Source organism: Homo sapiens, chromosome 1 (assembly GCF_000001405.40).
Source record: "Homo sapiens chromosome 1, GRCh38.p14 Primary Assembly".
Taxonomy (NCBI): Eukaryota; Metazoa; Chordata; class Mammalia; order Primates; family Hominidae; genus Homo; species Homo sapiens.
This window is the reverse complement of record NC_000001.11, coordinates 26,266,352-26,286,486: the sequence shown is the minus strand read 5'-3', so window position 1 is coordinate 26,286,486 and position 20,135 is coordinate 26,266,352. Positions and strand designations below refer to the sequence as shown.

At 51.4% G+C, this 20,135-nt stretch overlaps 3 protein-coding genes across 14 annotated transcripts in view, besides 8 other annotated features; 1 reads left to right on the top strand and 2 right to left on the bottom strand.

Moving 5' to 3' along the window:
* The window catches only part of UBXN11 (UBX domain protein 11), a 36,074-nt gene extending 31,869 nt beyond the window's left edge, over nucleotides 1–4,205 (top strand). For all 5 annotated transcript variants that reach the window (NM_145345.3, NM_001389559.1, NM_001077262.2 and 2 more), the window contains 7 exons: nucleotides 450–664; nucleotides 946–1,023; nucleotides 2,005–2,125; nucleotides 2,242–2,345; nucleotides 3,550–3,623; nucleotides 3,698–3,838; nucleotides 3,918–4,205. In NM_145345.3, coding sequence (NP_663320.2) covers nucleotides 450–664; nucleotides 946–1,023; nucleotides 2,005–2,125; nucleotides 2,242–2,345; nucleotides 3,550–3,623; nucleotides 3,698–3,838; nucleotides 3,918–4,188 — 1,004 coding nt within the window. In that variant the 3' untranslated portion in view covers nucleotides 4,189–4,205. The remainder of the gene's footprint in view (nucleotides 1–449; nucleotides 665–945; nucleotides 1,024–2,004; nucleotides 2,126–2,241; nucleotides 2,346–3,549; nucleotides 3,624–3,697; nucleotides 3,839–3,917) is intronic.
* Nucleotides 975–1,124: an enhancer, noted in NCBI's record as "active region_487". NCBI's record gives its function as "activates an Ori minimal core promoter by ATAC-STARR-seq in GM12878 lymphoblastoid cells {active_cell/tissue: GM12878}" and the evidence as "EXISTENCE:reporter gene assay evidence [ECO:0000049][PMID:35858748]".
* Nucleotides 1,805–1,894: an enhancer, noted in NCBI's record as "active region_486". NCBI's record gives its function as "activates an Ori minimal core promoter by ATAC-STARR-seq in GM12878 lymphoblastoid cells {active_cell/tissue: GM12878}" and the evidence as "EXISTENCE:reporter gene assay evidence [ECO:0000049][PMID:35858748]".
* Nucleotides 2,020–2,610: an enhancer, noted in NCBI's record as "H3K4me1 hESC enhancer chr1:26610368-26610958 (GRCh37/hg19 assembly coordinates)". NCBI's record gives its function as "activates a minimal SCP1, AML or CMV promoter by ChIP-STARR-seq in primed H9 embryonic stem cells {active_cell/tissue: H9 hESC(primed)}" and the evidence as "EXISTENCE:reporter gene assay evidence [ECO:0000049][PMID:30033119]".
* On the bottom strand, nucleotides 4,965–6,401 carry SH3BGRL3 (SH3 domain binding glutamate rich protein like 3). The gene is made up of 3 exons (NM_031286.4): nucleotides 6,284–6,401; nucleotides 5,555–5,722; nucleotides 4,965–5,429 (listed from the first exon to the last, which is right to left on the bottom strand). The coding sequence occupies exons 1-3, from the start codon at nucleotides 6,329–6,331 to the stop codon at nucleotides 5,364–5,366; spliced, it is 282 nt and encodes a 93-aa protein (NP_112576.1). The 5' UTR covers nucleotides 6,332–6,401; the 3' UTR covers nucleotides 4,965–5,363.
* Nucleotides 5,106–5,992: an enhancer, noted in NCBI's record as "H3K27ac-H3K4me1 hESC enhancer chr1:26606986-26607872 (GRCh37/hg19 assembly coordinates)". NCBI's record gives its function as "activates a minimal SCP1, AML or CMV promoter by ChIP-STARR-seq in naive and primed H9 embryonic stem cells {active_cell/tissue: H9 hESC(naive and primed)}" and the evidence as "EXISTENCE:reporter gene assay evidence [ECO:0000049][PMID:30033119]".
* Nucleotides 5,993–6,880: an enhancer, noted in NCBI's record as "H3K27ac-H3K4me1 hESC enhancer chr1:26606098-26606985 (GRCh37/hg19 assembly coordinates)". NCBI's record gives its function as "activates a minimal SCP1, AML or CMV promoter by ChIP-STARR-seq in naive H9 embryonic stem cells {active_cell/tissue: H9 hESC(naive)}" and the evidence as "EXISTENCE:reporter gene assay evidence [ECO:0000049][PMID:30033119]".
* Nucleotides 6,046–6,617: a silencer, noted in NCBI's record as "fragment chr1:26606361-26606932 (GRCh37/hg19 assembly coordinates)". NCBI's record gives its function as "represses an EF-1alpha promoter that drives an FKBP-Casp9 reporter gene in an ReSE screen in K562 erythroleukemia cells {active_cell/tissue: K562}" and the evidence as "EXISTENCE:reporter gene assay evidence [ECO:0000049][PMID:32094911]".
* Nucleotides 6,120–6,569: a silencer, noted in NCBI's record as "silent region_475". NCBI's record gives its function as "represses an Ori minimal core promoter by ATAC-STARR-seq in GM12878 lymphoblastoid cells {active_cell/tissue: GM12878}" and the evidence as "EXISTENCE:reporter gene assay evidence [ECO:0000049][PMID:35858748]".
* Nucleotides 7,679–20,135, bottom strand: part of CEP85 (centrosomal protein 85) — a 44,609-nt gene continuing 32,152 nt past the window's right edge. For 4 of the 8 annotated variants that reach the window (NM_022778.5, NM_001281517.3, XM_024449200.2 and 1 more), the window contains 7 exons: nucleotides 17,852–18,004; nucleotides 16,873–17,027; nucleotides 15,380–15,473; nucleotides 14,416–14,466; nucleotides 11,416–11,523; nucleotides 9,727–9,952; nucleotides 7,679–9,354 (listed from right to left, as the gene is read on the bottom strand). In NM_022778.5, coding sequence (NP_073615.2) covers nucleotides 9,194–9,354; nucleotides 9,727–9,952; nucleotides 11,416–11,523; nucleotides 14,416–14,466; nucleotides 15,380–15,473; nucleotides 16,873–17,027; nucleotides 17,852–18,004 — 948 coding nt within the window. In that variant the 3' untranslated portion in view covers nucleotides 7,679–9,193. Of the gene's footprint in view, nucleotides 9,355–9,726; nucleotides 9,953–11,415; nucleotides 11,524–11,874; nucleotides 11,954–14,415; nucleotides 14,467–15,379; nucleotides 15,474–16,872; nucleotides 17,028–17,122; nucleotides 17,209–17,851; nucleotides 18,005–20,135 lie in introns of those variants that run through there. The other 4 variants (XM_047428051.1, NM_001319944.2, NM_001281518.3 and 1 more) reach the window with 3 other exon arrangements.
* Nucleotides 9,431–10,630: an enhancer, noted in NCBI's record as "MED14-independent group 3 enhancer chr1:26602348-26603547 (GRCh37/hg19 assembly coordinates)". NCBI's record gives its function as "activates an origin of replication core promoter dependent on BRD2, BRD4, P300/CBP and CDK7 cofactors, and independent of MED14, by STARR-seq in HCT116 cells {active_cell/tissue: HCT116}" and the evidence as "EXISTENCE:reporter gene assay evidence [ECO:0000049][PMID:35650434]".

The window sequence follows — 20,135 nt, the reverse complement described above, 5'->3', positions numbered from 1 at the left end:
CAGATAGAAGGGAGGAACTGGGATTTGAACCCAGAAGGCCTCGATCCAGAGCTGGGAGCTCTGCCCTGTACTTTTCAGCTGCCAACCCAGTGCCTGACACAGATCTGGGATCAGATCCTGCTTCTGCTGCTTACTACTGTGTTTCTCACAAGCCATGTAACTTTCTCTAACCCTCAGTTTCCTCATCTGAAAAAATGGAGGTGATTATAGCCTTTATAGATAGGCTTGATAAGAAGTGGGAATGGAATATGGATAGTAAACCCCTAGCACAAAATAAGTGCTCAATAAAAGACAGCTGCTGTTATTATCTAGCGTTGTCCTTTTCCCCAGGCAGTCAGTTAAGGAGACATTAAGACCACTGCCCAGCTTGGGAGGGAGCCACAGAGGCTAGGGCTGCTAGGGACATGACAGCCAAAAGGCGGCTCACAGGTGTCTGTCCTCTTTGCCAGGGGACTCATTGGCGCCCCCTGAGGTGGACTTTGACAGGCTGCTGGCCAGCCTGCAGGATCTTAGTGAGCTGGTGGTAGAGGGTGACACCCAAGTGACACCAGTGCCCGGCGGGGCACGGCTGCGTACCCTCGAGCCCATCCCGCTGAAGCTCTACCGGAATGGCATCATGATGTTCGACGGGCCCTTCCAGCCCTTCTACGATCCCTCCACACAGGTAGGAGCGGTGTTGGGGGGGGTGGTGCTCTAGTGCCCCTGCTGCCCACTGTTAGTTGGGGATGATGAAGCCAGCTCACCCCAGGCCCAGCCTGCCCTCCACGGGGCACCCAGGCCCACACACGACTTGCAGAGGCCCCTCTCCCAAGGCCTGGGACTCTGAATGTTTCCAGAGTGCGGCACTGGGTGACCCTGGATCTAGGGCCTGCCATCCAGACCAGTGGCAGGGCAGGGTGGGCCCAAGGCCCAGGCCACCCCCTCACTTTTCCTCTTCCCTTGCAGCGCTGCCTCCGAGACATATTGGATGGCTTCTTTCCCTCAGAGCTCCAGCGACTGTACCCCAATGGGGTCCCCTTTAAGGTGATAAGCTGCTCCTCAAACCACACCTTTGGGGATTTTGAAGGGAGTGGGGATACACAGCCTCCCCAGACACCTCCCATTCTGAGGGGAAGCCGCTGCACTCCCTGGGGGACCCCAGTCTGATGCCCTCCAGGAGGATAAGTCTGAAGCCGGGCTGGGAAGGGAGCGGAGAGGCCCGAAACAGAGCAGCAGGCAGCGCCCTCTGCTGGCACCCTGGAGACAGCCTCGGCTGCGGGGCCCCTGCCTTCTAGTCCTCCCCAGCTTTCAGGACACCTTGACAACCTGGGGTCCCTGCAGAAGTGGCCCGGCTGTCCCCCAAGTCTCCTGAAGCTATCTGGGTAGGGTGGGAGGCAGTGCTGTGAGCCACAAATGCAAAGCAGAGGGGACAGATGTTGGGACTCAAAGACATGAGGTAGAGCTGGCCCCATGGGTAGGTGCCACCACCAGAGCCCATGAGGCTTCGTGTTCTAGAAGGTGGTGGGTTAGTGCCGCACTGAGGGCGTGTCCGGGAGGGAGCATGTGTCACCAGGGCTCAGGAAACAGCATGAGTCATGACGCGGGGGTGTTTAAGGCATTCGTGCCACAGCGGGGACCTCGGAGCTATGCCTTGATAAGGCAAGTGAGGTTACATGTACGATGATGCGGTTTGTGCTGCAGACTGGAAAAAAGCAGGGGCTTTGTCCTCTCCTGACCCCCTCACACTCTGCCTTCACGGTAGGCTCCTGAGAGGGGGGTCTCCAAGGAGGGTGTCAGTACTGCAGCTTCAGCTGGCGTGGATGGGGTGCTTACAGGAGCAGCAGGGCTGAGGGAGATGACAGCAGTACGAACCGTGGCTCTCCTGAGGCCTGGGTTTCCTCATATGTAAAATGGGGGTTGCATTAGACCATACCCTTGGCCTGTGTTTAGGCAAATAGGGATGAAAGTGGGGCCAAGGGCTGAAGAGCTGGGTCCGCTGCCGTCGTTGCCCTTCTTTCTTGCCAGGTGAGTGACTTGCGCAATCAGGTCTACCTGGAGGATGGACTGGACCCCTTCCCAGGCGAGGGCCGTGTGGTGGGCAGGCAGCTGATGCACAAGGCCTTGGACAGGGTGGAGGAGCACCCAGGTGAGTTTGGCCTCCAGGCTGAGCCAGGGGGCTGGGGGACTGCAGAACAAACTCCAGGGGGGCTCCACCACCACTCATAGTCCTTCCTGGGCCCCGGTTCCCAACTCTGCCTGTAGGCTCCAGGATGACTGCTGAGAAATTTCTGAACAGGCTCCCCAAGTTTGTGATCCGGCAAGGCGAGGTGATTGACATCCGGGGCCCCATCAGGGACACCTTGCAGGTGAGGCCAATGCTAACTCCCCCAGCCCTCCTGGGGGAACTTTAGCACCAGCCCTGGTCCAGCCTGCCAGAACAGTGTCTTGTCAGAAGGCTCAAGCTTGAGGCACCTGATGAGTCCCTCAGAGCTGTTGCTCCACTGTCTCCTGGAAACTGTGAGGCTGGTGAGGGCACGGGCTGGGCCCCGGAAAGCAGGTGGGTTAGCTGTAAGAGGGCTAAAGTCAGAGTCCAGGCCAGGGGTGAGCCCAAGGCCCAGGCCACCCCATCAAGGTCTAGGCCAAAATATCCAACTCAGTACTGGGTACTCCCTTCGTGGTTGCCTCAGACTCTCCTTGGCCCTCATCATTCTGTCTCCTCGCTCCCTATTCTGCTTCTCCTCCTAGGTGTCCACCTGTGAAAGGCACCAAACCTTAGTTTCTCAGGCCTCCTCTGCCTCCCTCACCCACACATTGCTAAGTCCTGTCTGGTCTGTCCACCCCCAGAACTTCTCCCAGATGCATCCCTTCTCCACATTCCCACCACCCACCACCCTAGTCTAGGGTTCAGAGTGTCTCTCCCAGACAGCTGCCTCCCACTGCCACTCCTGCCCCTGCTGACCATCCTCCAGGCTGCCTTCCCTGTTGAAATGTTCCAGTGGTTCTTGAGATAAAGCCAGGTTCCTTATGCTGGCACTCAAGGCCCGTCCTATATTGCCAGGCCCCTCCTCACACCAACCTTTTCCTTCCAGTCCAATTGAGCCCCAGCTTCAGCCACACATAATGCTGGCAGTTGCCCAAATGTGTCGCCACCTCTAGGAAGCTTTCCCTGAACCCAGGATCTTTGTTGATGCTGTCTGGAATATCCCTGCATCCATTCCATTTCTAAGGACTCCCATTCATCCTTCAGTCACAGCTCAGTTGTCATTTTCCGAGGGAAGCCTTCCCTGACCCCAGGCTGGGGTGGGCTTCCAGCCTGATCATCGTCTGTGTGGGGTTCTGTCTCCATTAGACTGAAACGGGGGGTTACCTGGGGGGAACCATGGGGCTGCCTCCCAGAACCTTCTTCCCCTTCCATTGCCTCTCCTCTGGCCTTGGTTTATACAGAACACCCCCTCCCGCTTTGCTCACTGGTCTCATCTGTCCCTGGTCAAGGAAGTGTCCCTCTAAGGTTTGTGGGGATGACTCAAATGGGGCCTAGGGCTCTGTCCACCCTCCACTGATACCTTCCAGAACTGCTGCCCATTGCCTGCCCGGATCCAGGAGATTGTGGTGGAGACGCCCACCTTGGCCGCTGAGCGAGAGAGGTGAGGGCGGGATGAGGAGGTGAGGGCCTGGGGGCGTTGGGTCACCGCGTGCTGATGGCCTCTGGGCTGTGCAGGAGCCAGGAGTCACCCAACACGCCGGCACCCCCGCTCTCCATGCTGCGCATCAAGTCTGAGAATGGGGAACAGGCCTTCCTACTGATGATGCAGCCTGACAACACCATTGGGGACGTGCGAGCTCTGCTAGCGCAGGCCAGGTGGGTGCAGGGCAGGGCCAGGGCCACAGAGGGGCTCTGGTCCCACTGCCCAGCCTGATCTGCTCTGCCTGGTCCCCAGGGTCATGGATGCCTCTGCCTTTGAGATCTTCAGCACATTCCCGCCCACCCTCTACCAGGACGATACACTCACGCTGCAGGCTGCAGGCCTTGTGCCCAAAGCAGCACTGCTGCTGCGGGCACGCCGAGCCCCGAAGTCCAGCCTGAAATTCAGTCCTGGTCCCTGTCCCGGTCCCGGTCCCGGCCCCAGTCCCGGTCCCGGTCCCGGCCCCAGTCCCGGTCCCGGTCCCGGCCCCAGTCCCTGTCCTGGACCCAGTCCCAGCCCCCAATAAAGCACCCGCCCCCTCAACCCGCTGCTCCGCCAGGCTCTTGGGTGGGCCATCTCGCCAGGCACGTAGGAAAGGCCTGGGACCAGCTGGGCCAGGGAGGGGGCGGTGCCGACCCGCCCCTTGGTAACTCGAGCCCCGGCTGGCGGGCCTGGCTGCTGGGTCTTTGTCTTCTAGGTTCCTCTTTCTCCCAAGAAGGGCTAAGTGGATCCTGTGAAGGGAGGGATGCAGTGGGGGGAAGGAGCTGGCCCCAGCTGGGTTTACATTCTCAGCTGGGACAGCAGAGCCTCACTGTGTATGTGTGCAGCCAGCAGATACCTGTGCACAGGCACAGACCCACCAACTCGTGGGGACACTTCAACACCGCACAAAGCCATTTTGCCACTAGACCCATGCCCCCAAATTAGCAGAACTGCAGCTGGGTACCCACCTCCCATGATACACTCATTCTTAGCCATTGTGCTCCAACACAGGCGCATGGGATGGCCACACTCACTGACAGGCATGGAGATGTGCACTACACACCAAGGCACAAGCATGATATGGACACATGCATGTGAACTGGAGGGTGGCCCACCCAGACATCTCCAGAAACCACTGGTCCATACAGGTATTTGTGTGTCAGACATATCCAAACACATGCACTAACAAACACAGAGGTGACAGTCACAAGAGAACAGCTCAGCCACCCTTCCCACAGAGCAGTCTCAGCACAGTCACAACTACCAACCTTGCCCAGGGCAGGGACCCAGGAGGCCCAGGCCACAACCAACCAGACACAGTGCCAATGGAACAGGACATCATTTAATTGCCTCTAGGGTCCTCCTGGGAGAGGGACTGCGGGGCCTTTGGCAGAGCTCTGGCTGATGGAACCAACAGAGGTGCCCATCAGCCAGTGCCAGGCAGGATGGCGGCCCCAATGCTTGGCTGGGGGCAGCCAGCATTTGGGGCTGTTGCTTAAGACAATTTCTGAGACTAATGGGTAAGGAATGTTGCCTTTAGATGGAGGAGAGGGGACTACATTTAGAGAGGAGGGAGGAGAAGTGGCCTGCATTGGGGGAGGGACTCTAAGGTTAGGTTAGGAATGACAGGGAGTTGGTCAAAAGGTCCTTCATGGCCAGGTGAAGGCTGGGGGGAGTGTGGTGATGGAGTCCAGCAGGGGAACTCTGGACAGGCTTGACTCAAGCCAGCTTCAGGAACTCCTGCAGCGTGTTTTGTTCCACAGCCTCCACGAAGAGCTCATAGTCCTGGAGAAGGGGAGGCGAGGGGTGGTCACCTGAATGCAGGGGGCCCAAGTGCTTTGTGGCAGATATGACCCTGGCTAGAGTCCTCTTCCAACACTCCCCCCACCCCCCCGTCCCCCAGCCCATACCCCACAGTACTGGTCCCCGTTGACAATCTGGGGTGGGGTGGCCTTGGGGTTGCCTGCCAAGGCTCGCATCTCATCCCTCAGGGCGTTGTCCTGGGAGATGTCCACTAGCTGGTATTGGATGCGCTTCCCATCCAGGATTCGGGTCACCTCGCTCTGCTGGGACTTGATCTGGGGACAGAGGGTGGGTAGGGGTTAGTGGATAGGCTGGAGGATTTATGGGGGAAATGCTGGGCAGGGTGAGAGAGGCTGTGACCAGGAGCTTTTGTCCCCCCATTCCCCTCCACACTAGGGGAGGGTTCTGGCCTCTAGGAGTTGGGAGGATGAGTCAGGCTTGAGGTGGTGCAGGATGAAGAGAGGGATTATCAGCCACGGGGGAGGGGGTCAGAGTGAAGGGAAGTGGGATCAGGCTCAGGGTGGGGAGGGGAGGGGAGGGCAGGCTGCGGTCGTGGTCAGGGTCAGCCCGGTAGTGGGAGTGCAGAGAATGGGTGTGGGGTTGATGGGGGATGGGCACGGGAAGTTCATGCCGCGGCTGCAAAGGACCCAGGATGCCCGATGAAGACATTCAGGATGGGGCCTCGGGACCGGGTCCGGGAGACCGTGCCCAGCACCTCGCCGACGCACTCCCCCCACCCCGCCCCCGTCCTGGGGGTGGGTCCCGGGCGCTAGGGTCCAAAGCACCGGGATACAGCCCTGCGCTTTCCCCCAGCGCCAGTCCGGGCGCGCACTTACTTCGCGGGAGCCGGTGACCGACGTGCTGTAGACGCGCAGGCCGCTCATGCTGGGGGTAGACAGACGGGCCGGCGGGCAGAGGGCGGCGGTAGCGGCAGCTGCACTGCCGGGAGACGACGCCGCCGCCGTGCTCGGGAGCGGTTTCCTTCCTGCTCCGCCCGCCAAGTCATCGCGCTCGGGACCAATGGGCGGCGCGGGCAGGCGGGGTGGGACCTGCGCGACACCGCCCCGCACGCCAGAGGCCCCTTCCCTTCCCCCTCGGTTACCAGGCGCGCAACGGACCCGTCCCACGCAGGGCGCCCCTTCTGCGGCTGCCCTGATCGTCCTTTTCGGCCCTTCCCTGATCTGGAGCTCAGTGTGAGACTGGGGAGGGGCCTGGGTGGCAGGACAGGCCCGGGAGAGGGTCTGGCAGAAGCCTCCCTCTCCAGCCGCACACAGGTTTGGTGCATCCAACTCCCCAGCCACGAGAGCCGCTCTCTCCAGGAGGAGGTGCTCTAATAGCACAGGGAAGCTTGGGGCTTTGGAAGGTTTGAGCTGCTTTCAGACCCAAAGTTCTCTAAGAACCTTGCTCCAAGGGATCCCTCGCTCCACCACCCAACACGCACCACTAACCCTAGGGGATAGGAAGCATAGGACAGCAGGAAGAGCCCATGCTTAGAGATTTTCCCCCAAGTTCCTCTCCACTCAGGTGGGAAGGTTTAGACAAGGAAGGGTGATAGCAGGACGCAGAGGCCACACCCTCAAGGAACCAGATGGAGACCAAGGCTGACAGCTGGAAAGCGTGGCGGTAGAGGATGATGTCAGGACTCGAGAGCCTAGGCTCAAGCTGACCCTTAAGATCCACCCCAGGTCTTGGGGTGGTCCAAGCTCAACCCCAGCTCCATGCTGCAGATGGCATTCCCAAACTGCTACTACTCCCAGCAAGAATTCAGCGGTTGAGGGGGCAGACTCCAGCAACGAGCCCAACTTTGGAGACCTAGCTGTCTGGCACTCAACATCATGCTTCTCAGATGTCCCCCTGGTCCAGGGCTCAGGCAGGTTAACAGCCCAGAAAGACAACCCTTGCTCTGGTAAAGCCACTTCCTCACAGCAACCCAGAGGCTGCCAACTTCCTGAGAGGACTGCTGAAACTTTCCAGTGACAAACTTCTGTTATGACTCAGGGAAGGTTTGCCCAAGAGAAAGTGAGTGGGAAGAGATCTGGTTCTATAGAACGACAGAGGAGCAGAGGTGGCAGAGATAGATAGGGACATGAGGCTGGCTGGACCTGCCAAAGGTTCCTCCACGCTGCTGCCTGGGGGACCTGGCTGAACACCCAGGTGTTTGGCTCTAACAAGCCAAAGTGAGGGGTAGAATAGCGTGGTGGTGGTGATGGAAGGGTATGGAAAACTGAGGAGTCTGTTAAGATACTTTATTTTATAATCAAAATACGCAATACAAACAAATGGACATAACAAAGATTCATATAAATAACTGGTTATAAACTTTATGAGGAAAAATACCCGTCAGCATGGTGGCTGGGCTCCCAATGCACAGGGTGGAGACCAACCAGGCGGCTCTGCCTTTAAGCAGCAGGAGCCCAGAGGCTGAAGGGCTGGCTGGGTGGGGCTGCTCTGAATGGAAGGGATAAGTCACTCCATAAATAAAACACAAACTTGTAAAAACACTTAAGAAAGAGCCTCATTCAGGCCCAGGCATGAGGTCCAAGATGCTGCCAACAGCCCAAAGCTTAGCAAAAATCTTGTAGTGGCTGACTGGCCCACACGTGGCCCCTGCCTGGCCTGGCTCCAGATCTAGAGGAGGCACGGCTGGCCCAACAACCAGATACTAACAAGTGTGAGATGCTCCCTAAACCAGGAGGCAAGAAAAACCAGAGGGCAAAGGTCCCTCACTAAAGCCCCAGAGAAACAACCCAGGAAACACTAAAAGCTGTACTTTAAAGCTGACTTGTACTGGGTACTCTGAACTTTCAAGGAGGCCAGAGCAGGAAAGGGAAAGGAATAACCCCCACCACCCCCAACACAAGAGAGGCACAAATTAGAGGGCTGGGCACAGGCTGTAGCCCTGGGTGAGGGGGTAAGCAGCTTGACAGTTGCTCTGTGGTCTCTGGGATATAATTCTGCCCAAGGCTAGAACCACAGAGAAGAGTTTGCACTCTTAAGTCCAGGAAGGGGACTACCTGGAAGGCCTGAGAACAAAGGAGAAAGTTTAGCACACTAAACACATGGCCAGGACCCTAGGGACACAAGGCAGCTGGAGAGTGGGATCTCTTGTTAAATGGCATGGTAGGCAGATTAGAGTCCTGGCTATAATCCCTAGGGCCCCAATCCTAGTAGTTACGTGCTAACCAACACATTACCCTGAGGCTTCTGGGAGAACAAGAGCCCTGAGGAAGAAGCAGTAAGACCAGGCATGAGAAAACCCAGAAAGCCAGCTCAGTTCCCAAGAAGGCTGGCACATGGGGCCTGAGAATTCTTAAATGGCCATTGTCACTGGTACTTGCTCAGCCTTTCCAGGCCCCTCTGATGAGCTCTCTAATCAGCAGGACCAAGGTGTGAAGTGGGAATGAACATGGATCCATCCCATTGGATGGAGAAGAAAGGTGGACAGCCTGTTCGTCTCTCATGTCAGCCTAGGGCTGGGAACAGTTTGTGAGGACTTATCTGTTGTACCTGCCAAAAGTTAATTAGTAACTCACCGTCTAGAGTGAATTAACAGGACAAACGTAATCCAACATGCCAGTGTGGGTAGGACACAGTTCCCTAATCAGCCCTTGGCCCCCAGATGCAGGCTCTCCCCTCCCCTCTGAGACCTCTCTGGGAATAGCAGACAAGAGAATGTCAGGGCAGAAACCTGCTGGACTAGGCTCTCAGCAGCCCAGCTCCTCCCTGGGGGAATCCCCCAGAATTCCTCACTGTGTGACACAGTTTTCTCCCATGTCCTGGGCATATCTGTCTGACATGGTGGTCCTTAAGTCCTCAATGTCACGACGCAGCTGTTGAACCTCTTCTAGTTTCCTCTTGATCACATCTGGCTTCTGCAAATCTAGCTGAGTCTCTGGGTGCTGTGCTGCTGGGGAGAAGAGCATTTCAAGAGAATGTTAGTTATGAGACATTTTCATGTGGAGGGTGCAGTATGGATAGGCAGTATCTTGAACCCACAGTCTTGGGACATGCACTTTAAAAAAAGCATCTGGGGACAGTGGGTTAATTTGCTGCTGAAGGTCCACTTTTAGTTTGTCCTGCATGCAAGTACCCCATAGCTTGTTTCCAAAAACAGATTTGTGAACACCTACTTTGTGAAACAAATAAATGTCCAGAGGGCAGTGGCCAGGACTATGTACTCTGTCTACATATTACCACAAGAATATGGGAAAGCAGGATGGGGGAGAGAAGAGAAAGAAGGACCCTCCTTCCTGGGCCCCAGACTGGTCTGAGGACTCACAGTGAATGCCCAGGAGCAGGGAGAGATTGGGGTCATGGCCCTGGGCCCTCTGGGTCACAATGCTACAGACAGCCTGCAGATCTTGAAGGCAACTGGCCAACTCCTGGTGCAGCTCAAGTGCCAGCTGGGCCGTGTCTGGTGAAGGTGGAGACCCTGGTTGGGCCTGGCGCAGGTGTTCCTGGAGTGTCAGATTCTTCTCAATCAAGTCCTGGTTTTGCACTGAAAGCTGAGCAGACAGATGGGTAAGCACATTAACTCAGGCCCAGGGAGAGGAAGAGTATCTGTGCATGAGTGTGTGGGTGTGGAAGGGATGGGTGAGTCATAGGCAGTGTCCCTCCTTCCCCAACCCTACCCCTGCCAACAGGCTTTTAGCACTTCTCCCACTATCAGTATCAGGCCTGGTTCTTCCTGTGGGTAGGTTGGGCCCACAGGGCTCTAGCACTGGAGAGGAAGCCAACCCTCAACTGGTTCTGAATCATCAGCATCCAAGTTTCTGTTCAAGAACCAGAGAAGATGCTCCCGCCCCTAGGAACTCTATCTCAAGCCAGTCCCTCAGCCAACTCTGTTAGCCAGGCTATTAGAGAAGGCTTAATGTGAACCGTGAAATCTGAGGAGACACTGGTTTCAATCTCTCCCTGCCACCCTGACAAAAGTGGCCACCAGCCAGCCTGATCACAGTGTGTCAGAGGAATAAAGAGAGTAAGAAAGACAATATGACAGCTAGTAGCCACTAGGTGGGGGGCTGGAGAAGCTGGAACCTGGAGGATCCAGCCCTGGAACAAGTCCTGCCTTTTCAAACTCTCACCTCAGTGGAGTCAGACTTTATTACAAAAACCATCTATTCATGTATGTCTGTCTGTTTCCCTCTCTTCCTGACAGCTTAATCCACTTTCCTTCCCTTCCTACCTTGATTGTATTTTTATAGAGTCTGAATAGAGTCCGTCCTTCAGTCCCAGGCCCTCCACCCACACTGGGCCATGTGACAATCCTAACTCAAGGAGGTTCCTTCCTAGGCACTAGGCCAGTCAGTGAACTTGGTTGCCCCCTGCTGACAGCTCTGTTTAGTGCATGAAGGCCACCAAATCCTCAGTCTTCTTGAACTCTCCACTCCCCAACCCCAGAAACCTGTGGCTTCAAGACAAAGGAAGAGAGAATGACTTTCCCCATCAAAAAGCATTCCTGGGCCCAGCGCAGTGGCTCACGACTGTAATCCCAGCACTTTGGGAGGCCAAAGTGGGCGGATCACAAGGTCAGGAGATGAAGACCATTCTGGCCAACATGGTGAAACCCCACCTCAACTAAAATACAAAAAATTAGCCGGGCGTGGTGGCGCGTGCCTGTAGTCCCAGCTACACAGGAGGCTGAGGCAGGGGAATCGCTTGAACCTGGGAGGCGGAGGTTGCAGTGAGCCGAGATTGCGCCACTGCACTCTAGCCTGGCGACAGAGCAAGACTCTGTCTTAAAAAAAAAAAAAAAACCTTCCTAGGTAATAATTATGGACATGCTAAAACAGGCTTAGGGTCTGTAATATAAAGAATGATGCAATGCACCTTTCCTCTGCCCCCAGAGCTCAGTAGGGACCTTTCCCTTTCAAACACTGGGGCTCTTATTGGGGTAGAGATGGGGAGGGCAAACAAAGAAATCGGGTTTGTGGAGGCAAAACCAAGAGGTCTGACTAATGTTGCTCACCTCCTTCACGGCTGTGCGCAGCTGCTGCAGGGCTGAATCCCTTCGCTGGGCCTCCTCTCTCAGGGCCTGGCTTGTTCCTTCTTCTTGAGCCACTTCCTGCTCTAGGCTCTGAATCACACAGCAAGATGTTGAGGGAACACAGTAGGGGTAACAAGTCTGGTTCAGACAATATCACCGCTGGCTTGGACTATATAGTGACGACTCACCCTACCTACACCCTCATAAGAAATCATTTTAGAACAGTCCTGATTTGTGACCTCCCATTTAAACCCTCCTATAGCCCTTGACCACATACCAAATAGAGGTCAGCTTCTTAGCAGGGCATTCAAGGCCACTGTAGCTCCTACCTACTTTTCTAGTCATATCTCTTTCCACCCTCCACATGGCCAGCCTCTACACCGTCACGATGAATGACTGGCCCTCATCCCTGAAGGCTGCAGTGTCAATGCTTCTGCTCACTTCTCTTTTCCTTTCTTCAAGCTGCTCTTCTGCTGTTACCTCCAGGAAACCTCCAAGGCACACCTGAGCTGTCTTCAATCTGCAAATCAGATCTAATTAATCCTAATCCTACCTTGCTATCATATCCATCATGGCTTACGAGTACATCTGCTTAATATTCTAGTTGGCTATGCACATGATCCTTCGCTCCACTCAAACATAACTTTCTTGAGGGCAGGGAATGTGCTATTCAGCTGAGTTCACTATTTACCGAGCACTTACTGTGACCAGCATTGAGAAGAACACCAAACAGTTCCTGTCTTTTAGGAGTTAACAGTCAAGTGCTCTTGACAATACTGTCTACTAAATGCTGTTCAGAGACATGGAAAGGGGTAGAAGAGCATACTCACAGGTACCTAATCTAGTGAGTTGTGTGTAAGTGTGTCTGTGTTTGTGTGTGTAGGAGCGGTCAGGGGAAGGGAGATATTTAAGCTTTTAAACTTCTGCCTCTCATTCTCTTCATTCAATTTTTCCTCAAATTTTGAAACTGATTTGAATGAAGTGTGAAAATTTTTTTATATTTCTCATTTGGTATTAATAAAAAAAAAAACTGCTAAGGAAAACACCTCATGATCATGAAATAGCCAAAGTGACTATGATGAATCCATCTAATTCCAACAAATTCACATATATATATATATTTTATTTATTTATTTATTTATTTATTTATTTTGAGATGGGGTTTCACTCTGTCGCCCAGACTGGCTGGAGTGCAGTGGCGTGATCTCGGCTCACTGCAACCTCCACCTCCCAGGTTCAAACAATTCTCCTGCCTCAGCCTCCCAAGTAGCTGGGACTACAGGTGCATGACACCACGCCCAGCTAATCTTTTTGTATTCTTAGTAGAGACAGGGTTTCACCTTGTTAGCCAGGATGGTCTCAATCTCCTGACCTTGTGATCTGCCCACCTCGGCCTCCCAAAGTGCTGGGATTACAGGCGTGAGCCACCGTGTCCGGCCTCACCTGATATTTTAATTTGCCTAAGTAGTCTTATCATAGGTAAATGTGCCATTTAAAATGTCAGGCTTTTCCAAACTTTGCAGAACCCCAAGGGTTCTAGGAAACCTATTTTGAGATCCATTAAAAACTCTACTAAAAACCTGGGATTTTAAATGGGTATGTATTAAAATGCTTGCCAGGCTTGACTACCTCCTTACAGGACTTGAAAGAGGTGAACCAGATAGACGTAGCCCAATCCACATAATGGCAAAGGCAAGACTGCAGCCTCCACTTATTCCCTCAAAACGAGTGCATTTCGGGTGTTTTGGTGTGAAAACTTTTAGAGTCCAAAGAGACGCTGAGTGAACCTGCTTTACCCAGAATTTCTTGGAGAACCCAGTTAAAGACACTCCCACTCTGGCCCAAAATAGAAACCTGGAGTCATATTTGATTCTTCCCTATTCTTCAACCCCTACATCTTGTCAGTCACTGATTCCGCTTGATGTTACCTCCTAAAGTCACTTAAATCTGTCCCCTCACATCTCCTCGCTGCTATGCTGCCTTATGCCAGGTTCCCTCATCACCTCTCACGAGAATTTCTCCAACAGTCCCCCTGGACCTTTCTTCTCTCCAGGATGCCAATCTTCCACACTTGAGCCTGAGTTGCAAACCTGACCACATCACATCCCAATTACATGCTGTAATAGGCTGGGCATGATGGCTCACGCCTGTAATCCCAGCACTTTGGGAGGCCGAGGCGGGCAGATCACCTGAGGTCAGGAGTTCGAGACCAGTCTGGCCAACGTGGTGAAACCCCGTCTCTACAAAAAATACAAAAATTAGCCGGGCGTGATGGTGGGCACCCGTAATACCAGCTACTCGGGAGGCTGAGGCAGGAGAATTGCTTGAACCTGGGAGGCAGAGGTTACAGTGAGCCGAGATTGCGCCATTGCACTCCAGCCTGGGCGACAAGAGCGAGACTCTGTCTCCAAAAAAAAAAAAAAAAAAAAAAAAAAATGCTGTAATAGATGCCCACCACCTACATAAAGAATAAAAGCTAACTTAGTTGATAGATAAGGCCCTTCCATAGCCTGGAATGCCCAGGTCTCCATTTACCATCTTAAAGTGGATACGTCAGCAGTATCAAACTGCTTGCAGCACCACATTCAAACTATGCTGTTTCATGTCTCCATGTTCCCACTCATGCTGTTCCTCCTATCTGGAATCCAACACATCCTATCCAGCTCCTCTTGTTTGCCTGGCTAACTCCTCATCCTTGTAGGTTCAGGATCTCCAGAAACCTCTCTTTTACCTCCCTTCCTCCCACTGACTCTCCTGCACTCCCCCAGGATACTGTGGGGACTGCTCTCACAGTACTGTGCTGAAACTCCCTACTATATTTGTGTCCTCTCAGCAAGGCTCAAAAGCACTGACTGGGTCTCATTCTTTTTGTATCCCTAACACTGAGCAACCTGCATGGCAGAGAACAAAATAAATATTGGCTAAATTCTAGAGATTCCATCATTAAGTTCTGCCCACCATGTCCCAAGGATTCCTGCTCACCTGTACTTGTGAGCGCAACTGATCCATCTTCTGCTGCTGCTTCTCCACAATCTGAAAGGCAAAGTTATCAAGGAAGGCTGCGAGCACAAGGCTGACGGTGAGGACAGAGGGCAAGGGGGCTGCACTAGGACATGTGGTCTGGCTATTAGACCATTAAGAGTAAGACCAGGATAAAGATTAGTGAACTCTACCTATAGGAATATAAACCAGACTCCTAATCCTGGCTAACTAGCTTCACAGTTGTGCTCCAATCACAAAGGTTTATACAGGAATGTAGTGTGAACACATAACCACTACTGGGGGAAAGGGAACTCTCACCCTAATAACTGCAGGCCAGTGGAATCAATTTTATAAACAGCCAGTGCAAACTCTTGTTCTTTGGTACAAGGACATGGCTAAAAATTCAGTCTAATGAAGCTTGCCATTTCTAGCACTATGATGGTTGTTGTTATTTACAGCTCTGGTCGTACTGATTATCCAAGAAGGGACCCTAAATAGGCCTGGTTTCTTTGAATCATTTATGGGTCTTCTTTTTTTTTTACTAACCTGCAGTCAGTTTCACCAGCCGGCCCCTGGCTCTCTCGTCTTTGCTGAATTAAGAAACCAGGGCACCTCACTGGTTAGAACTCTGTTCAATTCAAGGGTTTCTGTATGGGCCTGAGCCATGAATAAAGTGCACCAAACTTTACTGCACCATTTTGGGTCATCTAATCTAGATATTCAGAGGCATATCACCCCTCCTCTTACTTTTGCCTATATTCTAAATGAGTGAAGTTTGCCTGTTACAAGGATGACTATCTAAATACAAATTACTATGCAGGGTGACTTCTCCGAAAAGAAAGAAAAGCTCTTGGTAACAAATCCTAGATAGCCCAAAGCCAAGAATTCACGTATCCCTCCTAATACACAATCTTCTCTTTCCTCCCAGCCTACCCTCCGTTACAGCCTGGACACCCTCAGTCACCTTTTGGAGCGAATCGTATCGCTTCTGCCAGGACTCCATTTCCACTTCTGGACCTTCTCCACTGGTCTCCTCCACAGACTGTTTATCTTGCAGGCTGAAAGACAGTGGCCTCTTCAAGAACTCTGAAGTTAGACACAAGTGGCTTTGATTCTTGGTTCTGCTACTTATTGCACATTTTGAGGCAAGACACTTAGTCCAAGCAGTAGCTGGGGATAATACTTGGGTCTGCTGTAATATATGGGGTGCCACACAAAAGCTGCTCAGTGTATGTTAATTCTCTTCCCTAAGGGCCAGAATCTATACAATGTGACACCAATTCTCTACCTGCCCAAGGCTCTTGTGTATTTTGTTTTGATATTTAAAAAATACATATTTATCACATGTATTTAGATTGTAAGTCATACATGTACATTGTAGAAAGTTTGGAAAATACAAAAGCTGTTTTCTTGGCACACACAGTCTGGGGCAAAGCCAACTTTGTCCTCTAACCCCACTTCTGACTCTAACCAATGGTTTCCTCCAGTGGGTCCCTACAATTACTTATAGCAAAGCCCATCTGCTGAGATAAACAACAGGGACACTGTGGTTAAATATGGGATGAGAAATCCAATCTATCCCATTAGAAACTGGATTTGGTCCAAGAGGCTGTTGAAACACACCATTATTTTCAGAAACTGCTATTAATATGGAGAAGGCTCCCAAGACATCCTGAGAGTACATTATGGCATCTTGTTTTGTTCTCAGAACCTGTCATGGCAATGGAGAACAATCCCTAGGGCTGAGGAGAAAGGCTCCTGGTAGCCTTTAGCCTACACAGCTCGAACTGTGGATAACTCTCAGTTCTTATCACCAGTACCCACTTTTGAAAGTATACAGACACCTCATTTCCCAGTTTACAAAGTGCTTTCATTTATTCAACACATACATACTAAGAATTATGTGCCAGGCACTGGGTTAGATCCTTACAAAGGCTATGAAGATAAGCCCCCACTGCATCCATACTCCATGCCAAAGATATAAAAGCCGCTTCCTGGCCGGGCGCGGTGGCTCACACCTGTAATCCCAGCACTTTGGGAGGCCAAGGAGGGTGGATCACGAGGTCAGGAGATCGAGACCACGGTGAAACCCCGTCTCTACTAAAAATACAAAAAAGATTAGCCAGGCGCAGTGGCGGGCGCCTGTAGTCCCAGCTACTCAGGAGGCTGAGGCAGGAGAATGGTGTGAACCTGGGAGGCGGAGCTTGCAGTGAGCCAAGATTGCACCACTGCACTCCAGCCTGGGCGACAGAGCAAGACTCCGTCTCAAAAAAAAAAAAAAAAAAAAAAGCCGCTTCCCATAAGCAGCTTTCCTATTATTCACAGTCCAAAGAAAACAAAGCTCAGATAAGTAAAATGATTTTCCCAAATCACCCAAAGTCACACAGGTAAGTGAGCAGGATGGCTATGACAAAAAACTTAACTCTCCACTCCTCTCAGTCCCACAGGGTTATTTACCTATGTCCAGCGGAGGAGAATTCTGCTTCTCTCTGCCTCAGGCTTTCCAGTTGAATCTCCTTCTCTCTGCAGATTGCCTGGGTCTCCTCCAGCAAACTCTCCAGCTCAGTCACTTTCTCCTGCAGCTCTGTGCTCTTCAACTCAGAATCCTTAAGCTGAGAGACAGGATCCCATGTTTAGGTCAAATAAGCCAAGTGTTATAAATGCAAAATGCTTGTTCCTCGGTGTCACAAAGAAATAGCACTCAAACCTATATTTAATTTCCTCAGCAAGGCAATTTTTACTTTCTGCAGAAAGGGTGCTCCTCGCAGATGGAACAATGGTGAGAACACAACTGGACAGGGGAGGGGAAGGAGTTCTTATTTCTGACGCAGGTAGTCCCTACTGCTATGTCGTTCCCCTATTGGCTAGGGTTGAACCACACAGTCTAAGCTAATTCTGATTGGCTATTTTAAAGGGAACAGGTTTATGAGCCAGAGTGGTGGGGTGAGTAGTTTGGTGGGAAGGACAGTTAGGAACAGGTAATTAAAGGTGACTTAGGTCAGAGCAGGTGACCAGGGTGACTCAGGTCAAAGCAGGTGACCGGGATGAGTCAGGACGGAGTAGGTGACCGGGGGAACAGATGTGAACTACTGATTAAAACTGGTGGAAAAGGTTGTTTACTGAAACTAGAAGCAAGAGGGCGAAGAGAACCAGGAAGTTAAACTTTAAAATAGTGAATCAAAGAGTAAGAGACCTGAACTTACTGATTCTTTGAAGAGAAACTTGGGGTTCACTTTAACATAAGGAAGACTCTGTCTGGGTACCTCAAAAAATTTGCAGTCTGGTTACAAATCTGACAATTATGAATCTGGACATGACTGCTTTGGGATTCTCCTTTCAGCAAGTCACAGGATAACTGCATACAGCAGATGATGAAAAAGTTCCCCTGCCTGGCCACTCCCTGATCACCCCAGGCATGCCAAGACATTGCTGCTACCTGCTGGCTCTGCTTCTGATGGTCTTCCAGTGTGGGCAGGTCAGCCAGGTAGCGCTCCAAGGTCTCAATACGCTGCTGCTTCTCCCGGTTCTGCTCTGATTCCTTCTGGCATTTCTTTTTCAAATTATTGATATGTTTATCACGACCTTTGACCTAGGAAAATAAATGTCAAGTCTGTCTCCACCATTCACTCCACTATGACCCTGCTGGAGTGCAGTGCTGTGATCTCAGCTGACTGCAGCCTCCACCTCCCAGGCTCAAGTGATCCTCCTACCTCAGCCCCTGGAGTAGCTGGGACTGCAGGCACACACTACCACGGCAGGCTAATTTTTCTATGTTTTGTAGAGACAGAGTTTCGCCATGTTTTTCAGGCTGGTCTCCAATTCCTGGCCTCAAGCCATCCGCCCACCTTGGCCTCCCAAACTGCTGGGATTACAGGCATGGGCCACCACACCCAGCCACATCAACTTTTTTTGAAGCAACCCTTGAGGCTGTGAATGTTGTTCTACTGCAATGAAGGTAGGAAGCTAAACAAATTTTGCCATTTAGGATTTGAGTATAAAACTAAAGAATTAATGAACTTTCAAATCAAGGACGGAGAAAGTCTTCTAGGGCAGTTTTTAAAAACTGGCAGCATTTCTGTTGTAAAATACAGAATTTGTCTGGTCTCTGTACCTGGTTCCTGGGAGGCCTGTAACCTCTAAGCCCTTGGAATTTCCTGAATTGGACAGGAGTGGGCCAGATCCCATCATGAGTAAATTTATGCCAATACTATGACTCAGAATGGATGCAGATCACCAGAAAAATCAACTGCTTTAAGCCTAATCTACTATGGGGAAGGCAGAGGGACGGGTGATTGAGTTCAATCATGCCTACATAGATAAAACTCCAACTAAAAACTCTGGACACAGCAGCTCACTGGAGCTTCCTGGTAGGTAAACACATAAATGTGCTGTGTTTACATGCTCTTATTCCACAAGGAGAGGGCATGGAAGCTCTGCTCTCAGGATGCTCCTGGACCTCACCCTATGTCATTTGGCTGGTCCTGAATTGTATCCCACCCCCCTTTTTTTGAGACAGTTTCGCTCTTGTTGCCCAGGCTGGAATGCAATGGTGCAATCTTGGCTCACTGCGACCTTCGCCTCCTGGGTTCAAGAGAGTCTCCTGCCTCAGTTTCCCGAGTAGCTGGGATTACAGGCACCCGCCACCATGCCCAGCTAATTTTTCTATTTTTAGTACAGATGGGATTTCACCATGTTGGCCAGGCTGGTCTCGAACCCCTGACTTCAGGTGATCCACCTGCCTCGGCCTCCCAAAGTGCTGGGATTACAGGCATGAGCCACTGCACCCAGCCCTGAATTGTATCCCTTATAATAAAACTGTAATAATAAGTATAGCACTTTCCTAAGTTCTGTGAGTAATTCTGGGAATTATTAAACCTGAAGGGGTCATAGAAGCCTACAGATCTGCAGCCAGTTGGTCAGAAATACGGGTGGCCTGAAGACCCCAAAATTTGCTGTTGGCATCTGAAGTAAACACAGTTTTGCTGAGAACTGTGCCCTTAAACCTGTGGAGTCTGACACTAACTCCAGATGGTGTGCATCTGAATTGGACTGCAGAAGTATACATAACTTTCTGATAAGACATATAACCAGTTTGGTCAGAAAGGTAATATATTCTTCCCTAAATACCACACATGATATAAAGCCATGCAATCAACTGGAAAGGCTAATGAGACTTGAGAGAAAGAGCTATGTCTGTTTGCTAATAATCATATACTAAACACACGGCAGAAGGCCTGGCACAGAGCAGGTATTCAATAAAGATTTGAACAGAGGCTTTTTCTTCACCATTATGGTGCTTTGTTTTATTTTGTTTGCTTATGAACAAGGAAGGTGAGGAAAGCAAGAGAAAACAGAAAAAGTGATGCAGATCTACTAAATGTCAAAGAGGCGGCAAAGGCCTAATTTAATCCAAAGATATAACAGTACAAAGAAAGATCCCTGAAAATCAGCCAAAAGCTTATCCTAGGTCCAATCTGTACTCTTAAATTTCTGAACCAGTGATTTTCACATTTCAGTATGTATCAGAATCACCTGGGAAGCTTACTGAAAATGGTAAACTGACCATAAATGTTTATCTCTTCTCCCTTCCAAAAACATCTTTAAAATGACAGAAAAGAAATAAAGTATTAACTGAGAAACAACAGGGGAGGAAACAAAAGTCTAGGAAAGATTTATTATTTTTTTGAGACAGGGTCTTGCTCTGTCACCCATGCTGAAGT